Here is a 24,973-nt window from a genome sequence, read left to right on the forward strand (position 1 = left end):
TATTCAAATATTCTTTAAGAGAGGAATTAGAATATTGATTTAAGAAACTTAGGTTTATAATTTAATAAAGGAAAATTGGGCTTAATATTGGGGTGGACTGTTCCACAAACCATGGGGAAAATAGAGAATTTTGAAAATCAAATAACTATGATCCTCAGTTCATTTTTATAGAATTTTACTACAGAATTAATTTAGGTCAATTGGTTGCTAATGGTTATGTCCACAAGTTAGAATAAGCTTTTAAAAGCTTTGGTTACAAAATGTAGTAGGCCCACACTTTATTTAACTTAATCATTATAATCAATGTTTTTGTATAAGCAGATAGATGCTGGTCTGAGAGGGTTTAGCATCTATAGAATTTGAGACAGTTGTTTTAGAACCAAAGATTGTAAAAAACCAGTTTGTGTATAGCCAGTTAAGACCTGTGCTTTCATAATATCTTTTGACATAGATGTATGTGGCCAAACATGAGCCAGAAGAGTTTCATCTCACAGGTAGTCTGAGGGCCTCCCATCAAATATTTTAAACTTAAGTTTTTAAAGAACACCCATCATTGGTTAAATGTAGATACCATATAATCCTGGAAGGTTTCTCTCACATTCTGATGCACATTTGGCCTCTCTGAACAAACAAGCTTTTGTTTGACCTTTACTTTATTTGTTTGGGTTTGTTTGGTTTAGCTCTGTTAGTCTTGACTAAATCAGAAACTGGTGTGCATGACTAAGAAATTCCTGGGGTATGAGGGACAGCTTCTCTCTCCAGGAAGTTATAATAATCTTGGAAGGTTTTTAGATGCCTATAAATTCTGGAGAGAGTCGAGGTCCTCATTGTATCTCAACCTCCTCAATTTGGCAAGTTCATAGAATTCTATTCTATTCTATTCTATTCTATTCTATTCTATTCTATTCTATTCTATTCTATTCTATTCTATTCTATTCTATTCTATTCTATTCTTTTGTGTGTGTGTGTAGGAAATGTCCTTGGGGAGAAAGCTCATCTGTAGGCCAACCTAGAAGGTTGGGCCATCCTGGAAATAGCATAATACCCAATTTTGATGGTAACACATTGGACCTTGTAAAAGATAGATAAAATGAATTTCTGGGCTAGTAAGTATTTTCTAGATAACTAGATTAGGACTCTGGAACAAGGGAAGGATAAAGTCTGCCTCAAATCAAGGGGAAAATTTTTTCAGTGAGAAATGAATTGACCCCAATATAGAAGTAAATCAGGATGCTGAAACACTTCTTAGATACTGATTCACAATTGCCATTTTGACCTACCTCCACATAAAAATGGCCCAAGCTACTTGGGAATGAGAGTTATAAATCTACCTTTCATATGTAAAATACCAAAATTAATATCACAATAGCTGAAATTTATTGAGAATGAGTGCATGGTGATCTTTAATGAAATAATTCATAATTCTCTTTAAGACTCATGAAACAGGCATAATTATTATCCTTATTTTAATGAAAAAGAATCAGAGAATTTAAATAACTTCACCAAGTTGGTGAATGGCAAAATCCACACTCATATTTGATCTCTGATAATAAGGTTTGGCTACAACTTTCAGCAGTCTTATTACATAAGTTTGACCCTAGTGAGAAGAGAGCCTTCTCCAAGTTCATTAGACAAGAGACAGAGTATTTCAAGCACTGTAGTCATAACTTAAAAGATGCATGTAGAGTACTTGATATCATCCCTTGCATAGTATAAACAGTCAGAAAATACTACTACTTACAATGTGGGGAAACTAGAATGTGAGGCATAAGAGCATAAATGTTAGATTCCAAATTCTGTGTTTATAACCCAGCTCTAGCTTGTATGACTTTCAGCAAGTTTCACTTTCCTTATCTGTAAAATGGGTATAATAATATCCCCCACTTCACAGGGCTTTTGTGGGAAGCAGATCAGATGGTATTATATTTAATATCATGGCACACAAAACATGCTCAATAAATTGTAGCTACTGTTCTTGAATCCATTATTGTTGTTGCTTTTAAGTCCACAAAGTCAATGCTAGTGCTTTTAAAATCATTGATATCGGCAACTACAGAGTAAAAAAATCAGAACAAGTAGCACAGGTGTGGTCCTCTTGAAGTGCTTAAGTCAAAGCGCATCTAGCCACCAAGCAGTGGAATTGAAAACAGCAAAAAGCCTAACAGTAACCAAGAAGGATGAATTTCCTGGCACCTTACCAGAGGAAAGAAGTAAACTTGAAGGACTTGGGACACCAATTATTTTGCTGAGTGGAGAGTCAGAATCCATTTTCACTGCCATTGCATTTGTTAACTGGTGTCCTTGACTGTCCTCTGCTAGTATCCTGTGCCATTGGGAGGTAAAAGCTCCCTATCTAACACCTTTTTAATTGTATATTTCAGCCTTCCCAGTTTTCTCCTTCCAGCTCAGAAAGCAATCACTTACTAATATCATATGAAGAGAGAGAGAGGGAGAGAGAGAGAAAAACCTTTCTGCAATTTACAAAATTACAGGTAATTCTGTTATTCAATTAAGTTAATACCTGTTTCTGTCTGAGCATAACACTGCATTTCAAATCCAAACCCCAAATGGGCTGCAGATGCATAGAAAAATAAAAGAAGAATCGTGTACACTCATGGTTTCTCTATTCTTACCTTAGAGAATAATATTCTCCCAGAATTTTCTGGCATGCCTATCCATTTGAAACAGAATCCGTTTCAACTGTTTCAAAGAATGCAAAATATCATCACCGTAATTGCTTCTGTATCTTTATGAATATTGTAATATCTGTATTGCAAATGTAATCTTAGTAATCCTATACTGCATTGCCTTTTGAGAAGATTTCATTTCATATATGGTGAGTTTTAAAACCCTCATAAGGAGAATTTTTACTGATAGAAATGCTTTCTATATTTTATTTTATAATTAACCAAAGGAATAATTGGCTTTCCAAGGTTAATTACCTCTGCCTTCTAAAAATACTTTTTGGTTAAAGAAAATATTTGAATTCTTTTTGTTTAAAGAAAGCAAGGCACAATATACCACATTATAACAAAATTCCACACATTGTACGTAGATATAGTTTTGGTTCTGAGCTGGGGAACACAATTTCCTTGAATGTTATAGTTTTTATATTCTATTTTAGTGCTATAATTTTTCCAAGCAATAAATAATGTACTTCTACTGAATTCAAAATTACAGTAAACGTGCTCTCTGCAGATAATTTAACACCTGTGTATTTCTATGCCCTACAACTGCAGACTGCGTATCTCAGAGGCTTAAGGATCTGAATTATATTGCAAAAATAATGAGCTGAAGACTGATTGTAAATGTATATTTATTAACATAGCCACTAATTTTTTCGACTGCAGAGAAGAAATGGATCCTCCAGTGTGAGACCCTCAGTAACTACAGCAATATGTTGGATTTAGTAGGTTTCGATTTTTCAATGATTAAAACTGAAATCACAGCTAATATTCTTTTTCGGGGGATTAAGCAGGGAGAGTGTATCAGCACCAGCCCAATGCGAGGGCACTGGCGAGGTGTACCTTGGATGTATGGCTCCAGCGCTGGGGAGGGCTGAATAGAGAGTAAAGCTGAGCCAGGGCCCTGACAAAGAACCACACATACCGTGCACCACCTCACCTCCTCCCGTAAATCATGCACCTACGGAGGGGAGGAGCTACATTTAAAAAGGATCTTGAATCTTTTATTATAATTGAGCCTTTTCTATTGTGAATATAGATTTTATCCATCCAGCTACCAAAATAGTGTATGTCAGAATCAAAACATATTAGGACTGAAAGTTTATTTAGAAAGCACTTACATTTTATGAAAGAGGCATTTTATGAGAGACGAGGACATAGGGGCTTGGAGAAGTTATTGCCCTCCTGAAGGCACAGGCAAGGAGGGGTTCCTCCAGCCTACTGCTCCCTGGTCGCTGTTGCAGACACTCTCATGGTTCTGTGTGCCCATAGAGCAGTATTCCGAAGTTTTCTAAGAAAGTGAGGGGGAAATTTTACAGGCGTGAGGACCCTACATTTTTAAAAAACTGACTGAGACTAAGAGTAAAGGGAATACCTGAAGTGTTGAAAAAAAATTTGTGAAGACATCTGCCAGACTACTGCTTTCTTTTAGGCCCAGTAGTTGAACAAGTTTAAGAGGCCAGTGCAGCAGAGTGGAGGTGGCTGCGCTGAGATGGTCTCCTCTGTCCACATTTACCAGGGCAAAGGATATAAGAGTCTTCTGGGACCAGATGACAGCCATGTTGAGGAGAGGGGAAAAAAGAGCCAAATGAGATGGACTGGAGCAGTTTCAAGTCCTGTCCTAGAGGACCTTCCACACAGGGTCTCTGTTTGGGTGGATAGCTAGAGAACCAGGATCCAAGGACTGAGTGACAACTACAGGAATAGATTTCATTCCCCATCAGGAGGGGGGCCTTTGATGAGCCCAAAGAAGTACCAGCGAGAGAAGGAGCCTGCCTGAAACCAGCCCAGAAAGCATCCCTTTGCTTCTCCCCCGCCCCCACTTGCCATACCTGAGGGGCTGAAACCACAGATAGCAAAGAGGGGAGAAACAGTATGAGAAAGAGGCAAGCCACAGCTAACAAACACCTCTTCCTTCCTAATGAACAAATTCTTGCTTCTGTGGCTTGTAGCTAAAAGAGGAAAAGGAGACCTCTTACCCTAAATAAATATGGAAGTGTTGATTGATGTATTGGACTGGACACATTTCATGTGTAAATTGAGACTTCGTTTTGTGACTTTAAGTGATGGTTGAACTCTCCATTACTTAAGAGTGAGAAGCCAGGAAACTGCCAAGGCTTTTATCAAAAAGCAGAAGGCATTTTCCACTGAAGAAATTTTAAAACAACAATGGGAGACGAAAGGAAAGTAATGCATTGATTCCTGAATCATGCTTGCTCACCGTACCGTTACACGGTGCTCTTTCCTCCTCAGGCCCTTCCTGTCCCTTACCCTTAGAGTCCTCCTCAGCCAGAGGTGGAGTCTTTTCTCATTTTAACCATCTATGGGTCCAGGGCCAATCCAGTCTTTGAGTAGGAGACAGTGAAGTAATTTTACCCCATTCAGTCTGGAACTCAGCATCAAGTTATTCTCGTTTTAGTTTGGGCTGTGATTTGCAATTCCCTATTTTAGTTCTGTGCCTTGACTTTTCTTCTTTTTCTTTATTCTTTTAATGATAATTTTTGCTTTCTAAACTTTTTTTCTTTTAAAATCATCCAGCCTAAAATGGCATTGCCTTGTTTTGTTGAAACCTACCTTATCTTGTTGAAGACAGTAATTATAGGCCTTATGTGTGAGTATACATGCACACACACACACACATATCTTTTGTTTGTTTGGGTCCCTGACTTTCATGTTAGACACTTTTTCTCAATAATTTGGTGATTTATCTGGCTGGTTATTCTTTTTTAAGAGTCATTTATTAACAAGTTGATGGCAGTCTCGTAGTGCATAGCACGTGATGGGAACGCGAGGCAGTTGCACACTCACCCTGAGGATCACCAGCTCTCAGCATCTGTGGGGCTTTTCTTTTGGGTTGTAGCTTCCTAACAGCAGTGGTTCAGTAGTGGTTCAAACTGTGACTGAGTTAGAATCTCTTGGAGAGCCTGTTAAAACACAGAAGGCCAAGACTCACCGCCAAAGTTGGTGATTGGGTAGGTCTGGGTAGGCTTGCATTTCTAACAAGTTCCCAGCTGCTGAGCATGCTGTGGGCTTGGAGAGTACACTTTGAAAAGCACTGTCATGGTGCAGGATTTCTTAATGTTGGCACTATTGACATTTTGTGCTGGGTAATTTGTTGTGTGGCGCTGGCCTGTGTATTTGTAGGATGTTTAGCAGCATCCCTGGTGTCTATCCACTAGATGGCTACCCCCAACAGCCCCGATCCATACACCAGGTGTGTGAAACAAACATGTTTTGAGACATTGTCAACATGTTCCCCTAGTGGACGAAATTACCCTACATTGATAACCACTGACTCCTTAAGGAATTCTCTCTCCTGCCCGGAAAATAAAAGTGCAGCTGTAAGCAATCTGGGAGACAAAAGGAAAAGGGACTTGAGACTCACAATTCAGTTGGTAGACTCTATTAAATTCCCTCACTTTCTGTGTTGCCTTTCACCAATGCCACCCCACTGTCCATTTTCAGCTGTAAATCTCTCCAAAGGTAAATCTGTTCCATAGAGGTAGAAGAGGGCCAGGTTCCTGGAGAGGGGATCTGGGGTGTAACTGAGCTTCACATAAACTTTCAGTCTATCCTCCAGTTGGCAGCTTTGCCCTGAAGTCCTGCTATCAGAGGTACCTACTATCCCGAGATTTAAGTATTTCCAAGATTCACCAGAGCTAAGCAGCTTCCTTCCCTGCAAGCTCACAGTTCTGTTTTCTCTGGTCTGCCAAATCAATTGCTATTTATCCATCTGCTTTCTTGACTCTAAAGTTTTGTTGACATCTCTCATCTGCTGTTATCTGCTCTCCCATTCTCTTTGTTCTTGTAGATTTATGGCTTTTAAGCATTTATTTTCATTTTGGCGTGTTACAGAGGAGCAATAGTAAACATGTGTGTTTAATCTGCTACGTGTAGCCAGAATTTCCAGCTGCTTATCTGAAACTAGGTTTGGATGAGAGGGAAGGTGGAAAGGACGTAAAATATGTACACTGGAGAGGTGTTATTAATGGTTTTGGTTAAAGAAAAAAATGGAAATTTGAAGGTACAAAAAACACTCTTTTCATGTTTCTTTTGTTCTGCCTAAAGCCCTGATTGTTATATCTTTATCATCTGTTCAATAAAAGCAACATTTGAAACTAACAATATAGCCCTTAAGAGGCCCTGAAATAAAGGGACCTCCAAAATAGACACCTTTAAGCAAGACAGTATTTATAAAAACCCATTATAAATTTCAAATAGACACCTATGTTGGGTTATGATTCATCACTTAAAAACATAGAGATTACAGGTTGCCATTTTACCCACAAAATCAAAGGCATACGTTCTTACAGTTAGACTTTCTCTTTAATTTACTCTTAGATGCAATCAGAAAGTGTTATTTAGGTATTAGTCATACTTGCTCATGCATAATTCCTCTTATTGATGAGAGAGCTCAATTCATGACTTTAAGGGATCAGGTGGGATTTAGCCATAAGAAGTAACCAAAAAGGATATTGAATTGAATTTAATTTCAATAATTAACAAAATGATAGGTGGAAATTCTTCACAGATAAATATCTGGCTCTGGGAAAGTCACTGAATCTCTCAGGAGTAAAATTCCGTCAATAGGGGAATTGTGAAAAACATAATAGATAAAATAAACTAAGTGTCCTATGAACAAAACTTTGACCTGGCATTGGACTTCTTTTGAGTTTTCTACAGGTATAGCTACATGCAATTTTGAAAAATGCCCTCCAGCTGCTTCTAGGAATAAGCAGTGCTTTCTGAATACCAGTACTTTAAAAAGTATTAGTTATCACATACTCACTAAATATGAATTAATATTTCCATTGTATTATGACTTATTTGAATCTTAATACATGGACAAACTACAAGTTCCCTCCTCAAACTATATACTATATTGTGCTTTTGCTTTCAAGCTAATGAGCATTGAGAATAATATGGTGTTCTTGTCCTTGATTTTCACAGCAATATTTTTGGCTTATATTGGCATGTTGTGTAACCTATGTGCTTACATGAAAGTCAATAGAAAATACAGGAGGGAAGCAGTTACAGCCACCATCTTATAGTATGTCAGAAAAATATCATGTAAATATATATATTTCAGAGATACATATATATAAAAGAAGTCAAATGCAAATATGGTTTAGAGTGTCAATGAAAACTTGGAATGGAAGAGTTATATATGGGAATAATTTTCATAAGAACCAGTGAATGTGTTGGCATAATCACTGGATTAGACATTTGGAGATTGAGTTATGTGACCTTACATAAAGTCATTTGGCCTGTCTGATTTTTAAATCTGTAAAATGAAGATAATATGTGCCTCTTTCCCAACTCTCAAGAAGGCTATGAGGATTTATGGAGTTAATATATATAAAAGCACTTTATAAGCTATATGTACTACACGAATTTAAATTGTTGACACGAATAGAATCATAGAAAAATAGAACTGATAATATCCATAAAAGGTTGTTTGGTTGATTCACCTGCCTAAGTTATTCAGGATAGTAACTTACCTGTTATTCCTTTTATTTGTTTTGGAAATATTTTCATTTTTTCCAAACATTTAAACATTTTGCATAGTATTTTTAATATAAAATGATTTTTTAAATAATTTAAATTATTGGTAAACAGTAATACATCACGTGAATGGTATTTTTCTTATACATATGATATTAATTCTATAACGATGAGCTCCCCAAAGTAGGATCCCCTGATGGACTTGGGGGACTTTGTGACTTCCATAAAAGGGCATGTGAAAGTGTGTATATATGTGCTAAGGAGTGATTTTCTGGAAAGAAGGTTCATATCTTTCTTCACACTCTCAAAGAGACTAAAAGAATGGGATATTAGGGGCCGGGCGTGGTGGCTCACCCTTGTAATCCCAGCACTTCGGGAGGCCGAGGTGGGTGGATCACTTGAGGTCAGGAGTTCGAGACCAGCCTGGCCAACCTGGCAAAACCCCATCTCTACTAAAAATACAAAAATTAGCCAGGTGTGGTGGCAGTCGCCTGTAACCCCAGCTACTCGCGAGGCTGAGGCAGGAGAATTGCTTGAGCCTGGGAGGCGGAGGTTGCAGTGAGCCGAGATCATGGCACTGCATTCCAGCCTAGGCAACAGAGCAAGGCTGTCTTAAAAAAAAAAAAAAAAAAAAAAAGAATGGAATATTAGGAAGAGTGAAAGGAAGGAAGGATAAGAAAATGTGAGAAAAAGAAAAAAGAAGAGAAAGGGAATAGAAAACTTGAGTACATTGCTAGAAGAGTGTGCTATAGGTTATTTGTGCTTTTCCAGAAGAACTGAGAAAATGTATTTTGGGCTAAAAATTTTTATAATTAAAAAATAATAATAACTTGAATTCATGAGGGCCTACTGCATTCAGGTACTATGATAAGAGCTTTAATTTATGTTATCCTTACACCTCACAAATACCCCATGAGGTAGGGAAAGAACCACAGTCCCTTTTAGGAAATGCTTGGCCCAAGTGTATGCTCTATTAAGGTGAATGCATTGGGGTCAGATTTTGGAATTTAGAATTTTTCAATTTTTAGAAAGATATGTTGGTGGCCTTAGCATACATTATACACTATACCCAGGAGGGTCTGAGGGATCATAATGGGATCAAATAAAAGTGTTAAAGAGCTTCACATGAGTTCATTTCATATAGGTCAGATTTTGATGCCAGATGAGTTATGACAAAGGATTTGATTTTCACAGCTTTTAGGATTTTGAAATTGCAGACAAAATATTGTAAACCTGTATTATTATCATTCCCATTTTCTTGACCACAAAATGGCTTTAAGAGGTTGGTTAACAGCTCTGGTTTGTACAGCCAGGAGGTGACAGAGCAGACTGCACATCAGGCCTTCTGACTCCTGGTCTGTGGATTTTTAGAATTTAATGCAGATGGACCAGTGAGAAATCCTGAGTTACAATTTGGATGTACTAGTAGGCACCACCAGCTATTTGCCTTACTGTTCTTATGATTACTATTAGCTATAATTTTCCTGAACACCTGTCAGCAACTAGGTGATAAGGGAGTGGGAGAAAGAAGGCAGTGATGGAGCCCAACGCTTTCCTAAAATCCTAAAATCCTGATGGGAAGGCTGACATTCCAGATTTAGATGAACTGATGGCCAGTTCATGAGAACTTTCCAAAGAAGAACCACAAAGAGCTCACAGAACATCCATAAAATATTTGTTGGACGCCTACTACGTGTTACTTATTGTTCTAGGCACTGGGAATAGAAATGCATGTATTTTATTATGATATATGATACTATGTATATCTCTCCTAACAGAGGAGATATACATATAACCAAATAATTAAAATACATTGTGATAAATGCTGTAATAGGGTTCATTAGGAAATACTGGGAATGTCAGGAAAGTCTTATACAAAGAAACTGATATTATATTTGGACTTAAAGGATGAGTTGTTTTTGTAGATAGATAAATGGCAGAATAAGTAGAATGGCTGTTCTAAAAATGCACTTTTAATTTCTGCTCTTGATCAAGATGGAATGACAGGGACAGGATTTATTCCCCACTGGAAGCAACTGGAAAACTGGAAAAAAATATACAAAACAGCAGTTCTCAAGACATTGTGTGCCGGCAACAAAGGACAGTGATGCTGGAGAGATGAGAAATAAGCAAGGTAAGCCCTATAGTGTCCCAGCTTACTGCCTGGAGAGAGTATTCAGGCTGCAGGCCTATATTCTCAGAGTAAGGAGATTCTCAGGGTAAGATTCTCAGAGTAAGCAGACAATGTTGATTGACCGGGAAGGCCAAGGTGGCTAGAGGCCACAGAGTAGAATGCCAGAAAAGAGAGAACTACATAGATTGAAAACTACGCAGACCTGTAGGGAGTCTTTAAGTATTCAACTGAGTACTGATCAACACATGCATGTTAGGAAACCACCCAAGGCTGGGGGCAAGAATCTAAAGGATTAGAGGCGAAATCCTTGGAGCTCACATGGAGCCGCAACTGGAACTTCTTCCCACCAGCCAGAATGGAAAGCCTCATAATTCAGTGGGCATTTGAGTAGAGTACTCAGAAGAATTTTGCCTCATTAGTACAGCTAAAGTCAGGCCTGGACTATCACTGCTCTGTTTCTGCCTAACAAAGCTTAAAAAAACAAGACTCAAAATGATCATATGCTTTCCAATGAACTATCTCCCATAACAAAGCTCAAGAATATTTATAGAAATAAAATACATATGCAGCACCCAAGAAGCTAAATTTTACAATGTTTGACATCTAATAAAAAAATTTTTTTTTTAATTTTTTATTTTGAGACAAAGTCTCACTCTGTCGCCCAGGCTGGTGTGCAGTGGTGAGATCTCGGCTCACTGCAACCTCTACCTCCTGAGTTCAAGTGATTCTTGTGCCTCAGCCTCCTGAGTAGCTGGGATTACAGGCACACGCCACCATGCTCAGCTAATTTTTGTATTTTTAGTAGTGATGGGGTTTCACTATGTTGGCTAGGCTGGTCTTGAACACCTGACCTCAAGTGATCTGCTCACCTTGTCCTCCCAAAGTGCTGGGATTACAGGCATGAGCCACTGTGCCCAGCCCATCTAATAAAATATTAATAGGCATGGAAAGACACAGGAAAACAGGGCCCACAAGCTGGTAAAGAATAATTAGTTGAAATTAGCCCAGAAATTACATGGATAATCAGTTATTGAAGACATTAAGCTTATTGATAAGGTTGTTAGTTCTGTTATTAAAACAGAACATAGATATTCCATATATTTATGGAGCTAGAGAAAAGATTGAACTGTTAGTTATAGATATGAAGATACAAAAATCGAATTTCTTAAGGTTAAAATTATAATGTGTGAGATAAAAAGACAGACTGGATCAATGACAGATTAGGTATTGCAGAAAAAATGATGAGTGAACTTGAAGACATGGTAATAGAAATTATCCCAAATGAAACTATCCAAGAAGGAAAAAATCCTGAACGAATCAATAAAGCATCAGTGGGTTGTGAGGCAACTTCAAGCAAACTAATACAGGAGAATTTGGAACCCCCACAGGAGAAGAGAGAGAGGGACAGAAAAACATTTGAAAGAAATAATTACTAAAAACATTTCCAAATGTGATGAAAATTATAAACCTCAGGTCTAAGAATCTTAAAGAACTCCAAGCATAGGAAACATGAAGAAAAGTATGCAAAGACACGTTATAATGAAATTGCTTAAAACCAGTTAAAAAAAGAAAAATTTAAAAGCCCGAAGCGAAAGACACATTAGATACAAAGGAAAAAAGACAAGGAGGAGAGCAGAGTTCTTGATGAAAACAATGCAAACTAGACAACAGTGGAGCAACATCAGTAAATACTGAAAAAACAAAAACAAAACTTTCAGCCTGTAATTTTTTATCCAGGGAAAACATCTTGCAAAAATGAAGGTACATATTAGTTAAAGGAATTAATCACCAGCAGACCCTGCCCTACAAAAAATGTTGAAAGAAGTCTTTCAAGCATAAGGCAAATGATGCTAGATGGAAATTTGGTCCTATACAAAATAATGAAGAGAATTAAGAAATGGCATGTAGAAAAATATAGAGAATTTTCTTATTAAATATCTTTAAAATATAATCAATGGCTTGAGGCAGAATTAAAAACCAAATATTGTGGGGTTTTAATGTGTAAGTTTAACATGTAGAAGTAAAATGCATGAAAGCAGCAGCAAAACAAATAAACAAAAAATACCCAGAAGGGGAAAATTAGAAATAATTGTAGACCTGACATGGCTAAGAAAAGAATCAGTAAACTTGAAGCAGATCAATAAAAAGTTTCCAAAATGAATTGCAAAGAGAAAAAAATAAACACACACACACATGCACACACACACGTCCCCCAACACATTAAAAAATTGTGGAGAATATGAAAATGGAATAATACAAACTATTCAATCCATCCAAAAGAAGGCAGTAAAAGGAAAAAGGCAATAAAGAACAAATGGAAAAAATGGGAAATAAATATCAAACGCATATCTAATAAAAGACTCAGATCCAGAATATACAGAGAATTCTCAAAACTCAAACAACTCTTTCCTCTTCAAAAAAAGAAATGGGGGAAATCTGAACAGAAGCTTCATCAAAGAAGATAAATGAATAGCAAGTAGGTAGATGAAAAAATGTTAAATAGCACTAATCATTGAGGAAAGGAAAACTAAAGCCACAAAAGAATGTCACTATGCACGTATTAGAATGGCTAAAATTAAAAATCAAATGTTGGGGGAGAATGTGGAGCAACTGGAATTCTCACACATTGAATGGTGGGAATGGAAAATGGTCCTGCCACTTTGGAAAACAGCTTGGCAGTTTTAAAAAAGATACATATAGCTGCTGTATGACTCAGGTATTGCGTGCTCATGTAACTATCCAAGATAAATAAAAAGATTTGCACATGAATGTTTATAGCAACTTTGTTTGTAACGGCCCCAAACTAAAAACAACCTAAATGCCCATCAACAGGTGAATAGATTAACAGTGTTACAATCAATGACATAAAGAGGAATGGATTATTGATATACTCAAGAACATGGATAAATCTCAAAACAATTATGCTGATTATTATTTATATAAATGTCTAATTCCATTTATATAAAATTCTTAAAATTACACACTGATCTATAGTGATACACAGCAGGTCCATGTCTACCTTCCAGGTATATCTGACTTCATCTTCTGTGCTTCTCTCCTTTGCTTCCTGGGCTCCAGACAAGCAAATCTTGCTGTTCTTTGAACACATCAAGAATGTGCCTGTCTCAAGGTTTACATATTTGCTGATCCCTTGACATGGGTAATGCTTCCCCAGAGAGTTTGCTCCTTACTTCATTCTAGCCTCTCATCCAATATCACTTTGTCTAACATAACTCCCAATGATCTCTGCCTGCTTGTATTTACTAGGTGAGTGTGGGCTGGACCTAGTGACTCACTTGTAGCAAATAGAATGCAATGAAGTGATAGGATGCCACCTCCACAATGAGGTTACAAAAAGAGTCTGGCTTACATCTTTCATGCTCTGTACCAGTCTTTCTCATTCTATCTTTCTTAGAACTCTTGTCAATTGCCTTACGGACAGACCTATAAGGCAAGAAACTGATATCTGTGATCGAGAGCCAGTGAGCACCTGGGGCTTGTCACTGGCCATGTGAGTGAGCTTGGAAGCAGATACTCTCCCAGTTAAGCTTGGAAATGATTGCAGCCCCAACCCTGATGGCTGACTTGTGAGAGACCTCCTTGATTCACAGGCACCCAGTTCATCTGCACCTGGATTGCTGACCCATGGAAATGGCGAAGTAATAAATGTTTGTTATTTTAAGCTGCTAAACCTCTGGATAATTTTTTATGCAGCCATAGACAACTAATCCAGAGGTGTTCCTTAGAAAACTATGTAAAATATCCCCACTGACACATACAATTCCCAGTACTCATTGTCCTCTTACCTTGTTTTTTCTCATTCAAGACATTTTTCATCATTCAAAGTATTATTATATGTTATATATGTGCTAACTTGCTGTCTGTCTCTCATTCCCCCAATAAAATAAGATGAGAACAGCATCTTATATCTAGGGCCCGAAACACTGCCTGGCCAAGCTACGTATATATCCATTACATATTTGACACCTTTATATAAAATTTGAAAAAAAAGTCTAGACTATAAGGCAGGCTCCTTTTAGCTAGATATATTCTACATATATTCAGACCTCAACTCAAGGACAGAGGCCATCACAGAAAACCAGAAGAATGAGAAATTCCTTAAGCTACTGTGTCCCTTTTTCCCTAGGATCAGGCAAACACACTACTAATTCATCATACACTTAAAAATATTTGGAAAGGAGGAATAAGCAGAGAAGACAACTACCTCTCTGGTCAAGAGGAGCTGTGAGGGCCTGATCCAGCCACAGGGTGAAAATCACTATGGGAACTCATTAGTGAGGGTTTAACTGAGCCATCAGAGAGGCAAGGCTGGAGCGAGGCATCCAAAGGGGCCAGGCAAGGGTGGAATGGAGGCTAGTCCAGAATTGGGACAGGGACAGAGGCGGAATCTGGTTCTTGGTTGAGCCACAGCTTCAGGAACCAGCAGCAGGCTGAGAGAGAGAGAGATGGACCCCAAGGAAGTTCTTTTTCTGCCCAAGCCAGAGTACAGGTCGAGGCATCAAGGCTGGAGTGGAAGGCTGGGAATCAGGCATTTTCTCATAGATTGTAGGACGAGTAAGAGCAGAAGGTACAAGTGAGATGACACGAGACATCTCCACGGAGCTGTGACTACAGATAGGTCTGCATACATAGACAGTGTTCATTCAAAGTACATTGTAGTAGCCGGGCATGGTGACACACGCCTGTAATTCCAGCTACTCGGAGGCTGAGGCAGGAGAATCACTTGAACTCGGGAGGCAGAAGTTGCAGTGAGCCGAGATTGCACCACTGCACCCCAGCCTGGGCGACAGAGTGAGTGAGACTGTCTCAAAAAACCAAACCAAACCAAAGCAAATGGTTCAATGGTTTTATGTGGGATCAATGGTTTTATGAGCAAGGTGGAAACCTAACAACCATTCATGATATCATTTTTATGTTAAGATGATTTGAGTATTCCAAGCAACTAATGCAAAAGCAGAAATTTTGAAGAATCCTAAATTTGAGTTTACTTGAATTAACAATTTCTGTCAATCGTGGAAGCTGCTGCTATGGCCCACTAGGTGGCAGTATGGGAGTGATTTGCTGGTTAACAGAAAATGGAATAGGCTTGACTCTCAAGCCACTAGTTTGTTTTTTTCCTAGCATTTAAAAGTTGACAATAGAAAATGTTCATGGAATAATAGATGGAAAGTCAGACAAGGACTATCATGCAAAGGCCATTGACATATAAAATAAAACCGTTTTACAAGCAGTTACCATGGAGCATTTTATAAAAAGTCAAAACAGCAAATAATGTCTGCTGTTCATAATAAATATAATGTTTTTAAGTGATTCTTCTGATAGGTGAATGTTAGACAGATATAAAATAGAGACAAGTGAGAGAACAGGACAACGGATACCTCTTTCCCAGACCTTGCAAAAACCAGGCTCCCTGAAGCCTCTATGTTGGGGTTTTCAGTTCCCAGATCCCTACTTCCTCTTTACCCATCCACACTCCTGGCTTCCCTGTGAGATGCTCTTGGCAGCAAATCCCTGACAAGTCACATCATTCAAGTATCTTAATTCACTCTTTCACTTGTATTTCCCTGAAATTATGGACAAAGACACACTAATATTTTGCAAGGTAAAATTTCCAATTTTTTTTTTTTTTGTATGATGAGTGCTTAGACTATTGCTGTACATGTTAAGCACCATTCAGGAATTTCCTGTCCAGGCCAGGCATGGTGGCTCACACCTGTAATCCTAGCACTTTGGGAGGCCAAGGCAGGCGGATCACTTGAGGCCAGGAGTTCAAGACCAGCCTGGCCAACATGGTGAAACACCATCTCTACTTAAAATACAAAACTTATCTGGGCGTGGTGGCATGTGCCTGTAATCCCAGCTACTCAGGAGGCTGAGGCAGAAGAATTGTTTGAACCCGGGAGGCGGAGGTTGCAGTGAGCTGAGATCGTGACACTATACTGCAGCCTGGGTCACAGAGGTAGACTCTGTCTCAAAAAAAAAAAAAAAAAAAAAAAGAATTTCCCATCCAATCAGGTTCTAAGGGAAAAGGGCAGAAAATGTGTCTTCTGGTTCCCTTTCATTAGTGTCTTTTAAGTGCTGGCTATGCAGCATATGCTCAATAAATATTTAAACCAATGAATGAATAAATAAATGGCTCAATATGATGGTGTGCATGGGATGCACAAGGGATGAATGAATAAATACACTCTGGCATTTAACATCTTGGAACTTTTTTTTTATAACATATCAATCTTGCATGATTCAAAATAGAACACTTTAAATTTAAATAAACCTTCAAAATGTCTTAACATTTTACATAGAGCAAATTACTGTTAATAATTTACAAAGTTTAGAAAGTTTAGTTTGGAAAGATTAGTTTAATCTCAAAATACTGATCTAGGATAGCAGGCTTTTTAAATTAGCAGTTACCTTCGAGATCATTAGGTCAACCCTCTTATTTTCAGATTAGAAACGAGGACTCATATTTAGTGCTTTTTTCTCCTTTTAAACAGATTGCTGCTCGAATTTGGCAAAAGCCATACATATGATGAGTATGTTAACTGTGATTGATTTTGCTGTTAAGAAATGTTTGTGAAGAATATTCTTGACAGTCTATATTTTTCATATGGTTGAATGAATTTGTGTAATATTAAGGCATAATTATTTTTGGAACTAGCTTTTTTTACCATCAAAATATAAAGTTTCATTCTTAGACACTTTTCAAATTGTGAAGCACTTTCTGGAGTGTTTGTATCAGCTTACTCTACTTTCTTTCCCCTTGAAGTTATTTCTCTTTTCTTAAAGAAAGTAGGTTAAAATGCTGCTTATTAGGAAAATTAGGCTGGGAAGAAGCCGAAAGATCTGTTAAATACCTCAAGTGAATTCCTGAATTCAAAAAATCTGAACATTATCCTTGAAAACAGCTGAAAGTAAAATAACAAAAACTACTTTTTGGAGAACATTTTTTTTTTTTTGGAATAGAAAAATGTTAACTCATTCACAGATCTTGCCCAGATGCAATCGCCTACTGGTCTGGGTTCAGCCTACACACAAGAACAAATTCTTTCCCGGTGCCTCACACTGTGAGGCTGCAGTCCAATCTTGCCAAGGAGCCAGGGGTTCTTGTGTATCTTTTTATTGCTTTAAATTATAAGTTTGTCATTTTAAATTGAACATCTTTTTACTGCCATAAATATCAGTGGAGCCTTAAATGAAATACTGCACGTACAATTCAGCTCTGAAGAACTATATCCATCCATTCATAAACAAGAGCTCTATCGAGCAGGTTTTTCCTTTAGCAGAAATCTCATTGTAGTTTTATGTATTTATGTATATGTAGTATGTTAGTCAGGGTTCTCCAGAGAAAAAGAACTTATATATAGAGAGATATGTAAGAAGGGATTTATTATGGAAATTGACTCATATGATTATGGAGGCCAAGAGTCCCTTGATATGGTGTCTGCAAGGAGAGCTAAGGAAGCTGTGTGAGGACAAAAGACCTGCGAACCTCGTGAGCTGTTCCTGCTGCAAACTCCAGAGTCTGAAGGCTGGAGAACCTGGAGGTCTGATGTCCAAGGGCAGGAGATGGTGGTGTCCCAGCTCCTGAAGAGAGAGAATTCACCTTCCCTCTGTCTTATTGTTCAGGCTCTCGACAGATTGGATGATGCCCACCCACACTCGTGAGGGCCATCTTCTTGACTCAGTCTACTAATTCAAATGTTCATCTCTTCTGGAAACATCCTCACAGAAAATAAGATTGTTTAATAGGATGCTCAAATGCTCATCTCTTCTGGAAACATCCTCACAGACACACCCAGAAATAATACTTTACCAGCTATCTGGATATCCCTTAAGCCAGTCAAGGTGACACCAAAATTAAGCATCACGCTGTGTATGATTTATGTATTTCTTTATATTTTTGGCACAATTCAATGCTGAAATTACTCTTTAAATGTCATGGTTCGAGTGTTTTGAGTTCAATGTACCCGTTCCTGAACTCATCATCATCCTCTCCTCCCACAGTAATACCGATTTAGAGAATGGGCCACATCTAGCAGCTGCCCATCAAAAATCTAGAAGTTGACCGGCCTGGCTTTCACTTGCCTACTTTTCAATTCTGTCAGACACTTAATCCTCAAGTTTGCCTCCCATGCGTCTCCCTTACATGACTGCATCTGCCACGTGGGCAGGGACTTGGTTGATAAACTCAGGGGCATATTGAGCATAGTCCTTAAAACTCAACGAATGTCAGAGGAATGAATAAATGATGAATATTTATCCAATCTATCCCCTTATTTTCACTCTTGCCATCTCGATCCTAGTTTAAGCATTAAGCATCTCTTATCTGGACTACTGCAGTAGCTTATAGTTTGGATTTTCTGACTCTATTTGTATGTCAGCCACCTGCCTTAATTCTAGCCTCATGTTTCTCTACTCTTGTCCTATGTTGTATGCTTAAATACTACTGAGCTGATTATGTCTCCTGCCATATACCCTGATATCTCCTGCCCCTATGACTTTACCTAGGATGTTTCCATCTCTAGAAATGCCTGGTCATTTTTTTTTTTTTTTTGCAAACTTCTGCTCATCCTCATTGCTGAGCCAATGTGACGTATTTTTTAGTAACTTTTTTCTGAAGTCCCAGGTTGTATTACATGCCCCCTTTCTTTTGTCCTATTGTACCTTGTACATTTCTCTAACTGAATTCTTGTATCACATTCTATTTTACTGTTCATCTGTCTGGCTTTCTCTCTGTGCTCCTTTTGGGTAGGAATTCTTTCTTAAACATTGTAGTAATTTTAATGGTGCACAGAAGGCAGTCCATAAATATTTGTACTTGTTTTTTCTTTTTGTGGAATGAACAACTTGGATGCCACAGGAATTTAGGATCGCCACTAATTACGAGTGTGTCTGCCATAGCTAGGGCCACTGAGTACAGCTGTACACATTGTGCACTGCACTATTCTGGGCATGGGTACTAGTCCCATAGAGGATAATGTGAACGTCTACTCCACCACTCCAGTTGTAAACTGCACCAGTCATCCAACCACAGGCACTACCCTGGTGGATATAGATGAGATACTGCAGTGAATACCATTTTTAACTGTAAGATAGTTATATTTTAAATTGTAATTTATTTCAGGTTTTTAATAATTGGATTTATAAACAAACATTGAACAAATAATTCCATTATAATTCACGTGATACTTTTTCTTTTCACAGGAAAGCATTTGTTTTAGCTTGGCATGTTTCTTCCCAGTATGTACCTCATAAATTATAAAATACTTTACCTTCCTTTCCTAGACTGTATTCTTGTTTCCTTAAATGAATTTGAAACCCCGGGACATGAAGTTTATACAGATGGACAGCTATAAATCAATGAATTTTACTATGAAAAATAAGCATTGGCATGTGCATTTTTTTCCATGAAACACATCAGTCAAAATTTAAACTTTAAAAAAAATCAGAGGCTAAAGAAGTTCATTCTAAAGAAAGCTGCCAGTAAACAGATATTACCATTCTCCAGATTCTAGAACTGAACTAAATTGAATTTATCATTAAATATCAAATTTATAGCTTTTAAAAAGACATTAATTTTTCTCTAGAATATCAGTAAGTCTCTTAAATATTAGAGATTTAGGACTGAAAAACATGAAATTCTCTATTTAGTAACTAGCAAATTCTAAATTAATGGATGATAAACCAGACAACTCTTTAAATAAAAATCAATCTAATAAAAATAGCCATTAGACTTATGCATCAAAAAGGTATCAAAATTAAAACTGAGTAAATGGTCAACTTGGCATGAAGCCTTACTAAGTTGATTAAAGTAGAGACTCACTAAATTGACAGCTGGTATTTACAATCTGTGTGGAACAGATATTGATATTAATATTTGTAATAACCACCATATTGAGAAGTATGCATCCAGCATTATGCTAAATGTAAGATACTTTTTAACATTTTGTCATTTTAATACTCAGAAGAATTTATAAGGTAGAAGTGACTACAATACCCATATTATGACTGATGAAACCTATACGTGAAGAGATCAACAAAGAAAATAAGGAAGAAGTGAATGAAAAATTAATTAAAAAGCATTTTTTCAAACCAATCAGGAGAATTAATGAGGCAAGCATTGTTTATCTCCAGAAATGGGATTAAAATATTAAAATATGGACCAGCCAAGAAGGCTCTAACTCTCTAGATATGGTCCATTCTACCCCTACCTGTAGCTGCCTGTCTTCTGTCTACTTTCTGAGTCTCCCATTGAAGCTGAGGTTTGAAATTCACCTGCTGATCAATGTTGCAGATCTCATGTGAGACCCTGGAAGTGGACCCATGGGATAATTGGCTGATACCCTTTCCACAGTTGCTCCTGGTAAGCCTATCGTGTGTTGGGACTCATGCCCCAATTCTGATTCATATTACAGGACCTGCTGGACCTGGAGCTATGTGCCCTGGTCTCTGATTGCTGGTTTTGGCCAAACAACAGCTCAGTACTTGCCAACCCTCACTTCCTGGTGGGCTAAACTCTGTCTACTACCTAGAGGCTCTGGCTAGGGTCCTGTTTCAATTTGAAATTCACTTTTTCCCCACCTCTTTCAGGGTTAAGATGCTACCACTTATGTGCCATCAATGCCCAGGCAATACTAATCCCATAACTCCACCTAAAAGAGTAGGACTTCTGTATATTCACATTAGCCTATGAGGAAACTGAATCCAAGTTATCTTGGACTTTGAGGTTTTATTATCAGATGACTACACATGAGGTCAACCCAAAAGCAAGCTTGGTCCTCTCAGCCTCTACTCTGCACACTGTCAGCTTACCTCCCTCAGCCCATCATGCTGACACTAGGATCAATTAGGCCTCAAGACCAAGGCTGTTTAGCCAAAAACAATTTCTGAACCTTAGAAAAGCCTTCCATTTGTTCTAGTCATCCAAGTACCCAGTTTGCTGGAACTCTCTATCCACCTATTCTCAACTTCAAGAAATCTTCTGGATAAAATATAGAAAATCATTTGGGATCCAAAGTAGATAGTTGTAATGTAGAGAAATCTAAGTGGAAAGCAAGTAAGTGTAAGGTTTATGAGTATAAAGGAAAAATGGCAGATTTACCAAGACAAGGTTGAGAGTGTCAGAGGGAAACGAGAATATAAGAGATTGTCTTTAGATGGCCACAAGTAAGAGAGGGAGGGGATCTAGGTGTAGACCAATATCTCTCTCTCTCCCTCTCTCTCTCTCTCTCTCTCTTATCTATCACCTATCTATTATCTGCCTACTTATTTATATTACATGTATATGCCTTGGTCATTGTTAATCCGCTTCTACTTTCTGTTTGAATTTAGCAGACCATATTTTTCCAATTATCTTTGGTATGGTGGCTACCATCATTACCACTGCCTTTTTTATAGTAGCTAAATATAGATTAACAGAATCAATGAATCTCAAAAAAAAAAAAAAAAAGCCTGGTAAAGTTTAGTATTGCTAATTAGACCTGCCTCTATTAGCAAAACCACATTCATTCTGGGGACTAATGACATCTGCCTGATATCTTTACAATCCATTTTCACATAAAAAGCACCCAAAATGAGGTCCTGGATGGCAGTAGAATGAAATTTTTAAAAAGCCAAATGAAAATGGTTCAGTTGGTAGGAGTGTAAATTATTTCAACCATTGTGGAAGACAGTGTGGCGATTCCTCAAGGATCTGGAACCAGAAATACCATTTGACCCAGCAATCTCATTACCGGGTATATACCCAAAGGATTATAAATCATTCTACTATAAAGACACATGCACACTTATGTTTACTGCAGAACTATTTACAATAGCAAAGACTTGGAACCAACCCAAATGCCCATCAATGATAGACTGGATAAAGAAAATGTGGCACATATATGTCATGGAGTACTATGCAGCCATAAAAAAGAATGAGTTCATGTCCTTTGCAGGGACATGGCTAAAGCTGGAAATCATCATCCTCAGCAAACTAACACAGGAACAGAAAACCAAACACTGCATGTTCTCACTTATAAGAGGGAGTTGAACAATGAGAACACATGGACACAGGGAGGGGAACATCACACACTGGGGCCTGTTGGGGGGTGGGGGGAAAGGGGAGGGAGAGCATTAGGACAAACACTTAATGCATGCAGGGCTTAAAACCTAGATGACAGGGTGATAGGAGCAGCAAACCACCATGGCACATGTATACCTATGTACCAAACCTGCACATTCAGCACATGTATCCCAGAACTTAAAGATAAAAAAGAAATGAAAGAAAATGGTTCTGTGACTCTGATAAGTGTAGAAGAGATGAGTAATTGCAGCATAGTACATTTCATGTGTGATGAAGTAAGGATTGTTGCCTGAAAGGTCGGCAGGCCCAGAAGATGAGAGGATATTTTCTAAATTTGAGGTGGATAACAAAGGGCACTTGTACGTAATAGAGGGCATCCTATTAAATGCAAAGACATTTTGGGGTGTTGGTATAGAAGACCTGGGATGCAGTTAAAATGGCTATATTTTGTGATATAAACTTTCTTAAAATAGCCTATATGAATTTCTATTGCTATCTAAGCTTTAATCTACATAAATAATCTAAAGTTACCAATATCAGGACCTCAAAGCGTAGTGAGATTCAGTCATGTAGCTATGTTTTTGGAAGCTGGTTTACTTAGAAATATAACTGGATATGGCTGCTGGAGATGGTTAGTTTAGAATAGGGAAAGGGAGGAAATTAAATTATGTGACCATTGAGTTTGAGGAACATTTTAATATCTTACTGAGGAAGTGTAGTTAAAGAAGAATTATGTAACTGATACTCCTGAGCTAGAAGAACTAAGAAGCCAGGAATTTGTAGCAACCAGTGGGGATACCAAAAATTACTGGTGGAAGGGGTAGATTGGAGGTGGCTTGGGTTTTTCTTCTGATGAGCTGAGTGAGCATCGGCTGTTTGGGTGCTACCTGCTCCCTTGACCCAGCTTGGAAGAATTAGGAAAAGAAACTACAATCTCTACCACTTATAAAGTCTCTAGGTCACTTGGTACCATAAACATTCCTCTGTGCTCATTTATCTCTCTTAAGAATCTGAAAATCAGATTATTTGCTGACATTGATACTAAAAAGTGAACAGAATACGGATGAGTTTAGCTATCTGCAGAAGTCATTTTAAGGGATAGGATATTTCTTAGAATATAAGCTGGTGCAACAGGGAGTAGAAATTAACTTAAGCCATGACTGAATATTAAAGGAAGTTATAACTAAATCAAGGATATTAGAGTACTAATATATGAGCAGAAAAAGTAGAATTTGCATGAAGCTCCCAAACAAAGAAGTCACCACAGCTAATGTTATACTGGAGCTACTTCTATTAAAGTCAGAGCCGTAAGGCTGCTGTTTACTATGATCATTGACATTCAACATTGCTTTGGATATTCTGTACAATCCAATAATACAAGGCAAATAAGACATAAAACAAGTATAAAGGAGAAGACAACATTAACATTATATCCAGAAAATAAGATTGTTTAATAGAAAATTCAAGAGAACTTACTTTAAAAAAAAATCTGAGTTGATGAGGAAAGTCATATTAGTGACTGGATAAAAAATAAATACATAAAGTTTGGCTGGGTGCAGTGGCTCACATCTGTAATCCCAGCACTTTGGGAGGCCGAGGAGGGCAGATCACAAGGTCAGGAGTTCGAGACCAGCCTGACCAACATGGTGAAACCCCGTCTCTACTAAAAAAATACAAAAATTAGGTGTGGTGGCATGCACCTGTAATCCCAGCTACTCAGGAGGCTGAGGCTGGAGAGTCGCTTGAACCCGGGAGGCCGAGGTTGCAGTGAGCTAAGATAGCACCATTGCACTCCAGTCTGGGCAACAGAGTGAGACTCCATCTCAAAAAAAATAAAAAAGTTCATAAGCTTTTACTATGTGCCAGCATTTTATGCTAACTAGTTTTAAAAATGGTAAAAAATAAATATATATATGTATGTTTATGTGCTTCTGTGTGTTTATGACTTTACATAGCATGGTGAGGTATGTATTCTCTTAAGAGGTGACATTTCACACAATACCTGGACATCGAGGTGAAGTAGGCTCTGCAATCATTAGGGGTTAATCATGCCAGGCAGGCATGCTCTGATTTCTGCTTAAAAGTATCTCTGACTGTCATTTTGAGGGTAGTTTGTGAAAATTTAAAAGTGGAATCAATGGATTAGTTAGGAGGCTATGGCAGTAGATAAAACAAAATACAATGATGGTTGAATTAGGATGGTAGTGATAGAACTAGAACAGAGGTGATAAGCTTGTGGCATTCTTTGGAGTAGAGTTGCCAGGGCTTGAGGATTTGAACATGAAAGGGAAAGTTATGAGATGAATGGATTGTGGTTCCTAGATTTTGGTTTTGAGTAATTGAGGCTGTAGAAGGTGGTGCTACTTATGGAGAAGGAAAAGATTGGGTAAGATTAGAAGGAAAGCAGGAGTTCTGTTTTAGACATGTTAAGTTTGAGAGGTAAATTACATATTCAGATGGAAATGTCAAGAAAGCATCTATATATATGAGTTTGGAGCAAAAGGGAGGGGTTAGAGGTAAAGTCAGAGAAAGTGTCCTGGTCAGTCCAATAGTTAGAATTTGACA

At 37.9% G+C, this 24,973-nt stretch overlaps 1 protein-coding gene and 1 long non-coding RNA gene across 5 annotated transcripts in view; one reads left to right on the plus strand and one right to left on the minus strand.

The window, feature by feature from the left end:
- The window catches only part of SAMD3 (sterile alpha motif domain containing 3), a 223,117-nt gene that overhangs the window by 164,734 nt on the left and 33,410 nt on the right, over positions 1 to 24,973 (minus strand). The window contains exon 2 of one of the 3 annotated variants that reach the window (NM_001258275.3): positions 5,493 to 5,608. The exons of the other annotated variants lie outside the window; for them this stretch is intronic. The gene's annotated coding sequence lies outside the window, so the exon portion shown is untranslated. The remainder of the gene's footprint in view (positions 1 to 5,492; positions 5,609 to 24,973) is intronic. 3 annotated transcript variants of the gene reach the window in all.
- Positions 996 to 16,017, plus strand: LOC112267974 (uncharacterized). Of its 2 annotated transcripts, XR_007059768.1 has the most exons (4): positions 1,020 to 1,106; positions 2,382 to 2,492; positions 10,185 to 10,323; positions 13,739 to 14,084. It is a non-coding gene; the product is annotated as an uncharacterized LOC112267974 (long non-coding RNA). The 2 variants fall into 2 exon arrangements; XR_002956398.2 differs by having other exon boundaries at positions 996 to 1,106; positions 10,185 to 16,017.

This window comes from Homo sapiens, chromosome 6, assembly GCF_000001405.40.
Source record: "Homo sapiens chromosome 6, GRCh38.p14 Primary Assembly".
NCBI lineage: Eukaryota > Metazoa > Chordata > Mammalia > Primates > Hominidae > Homo > Homo sapiens.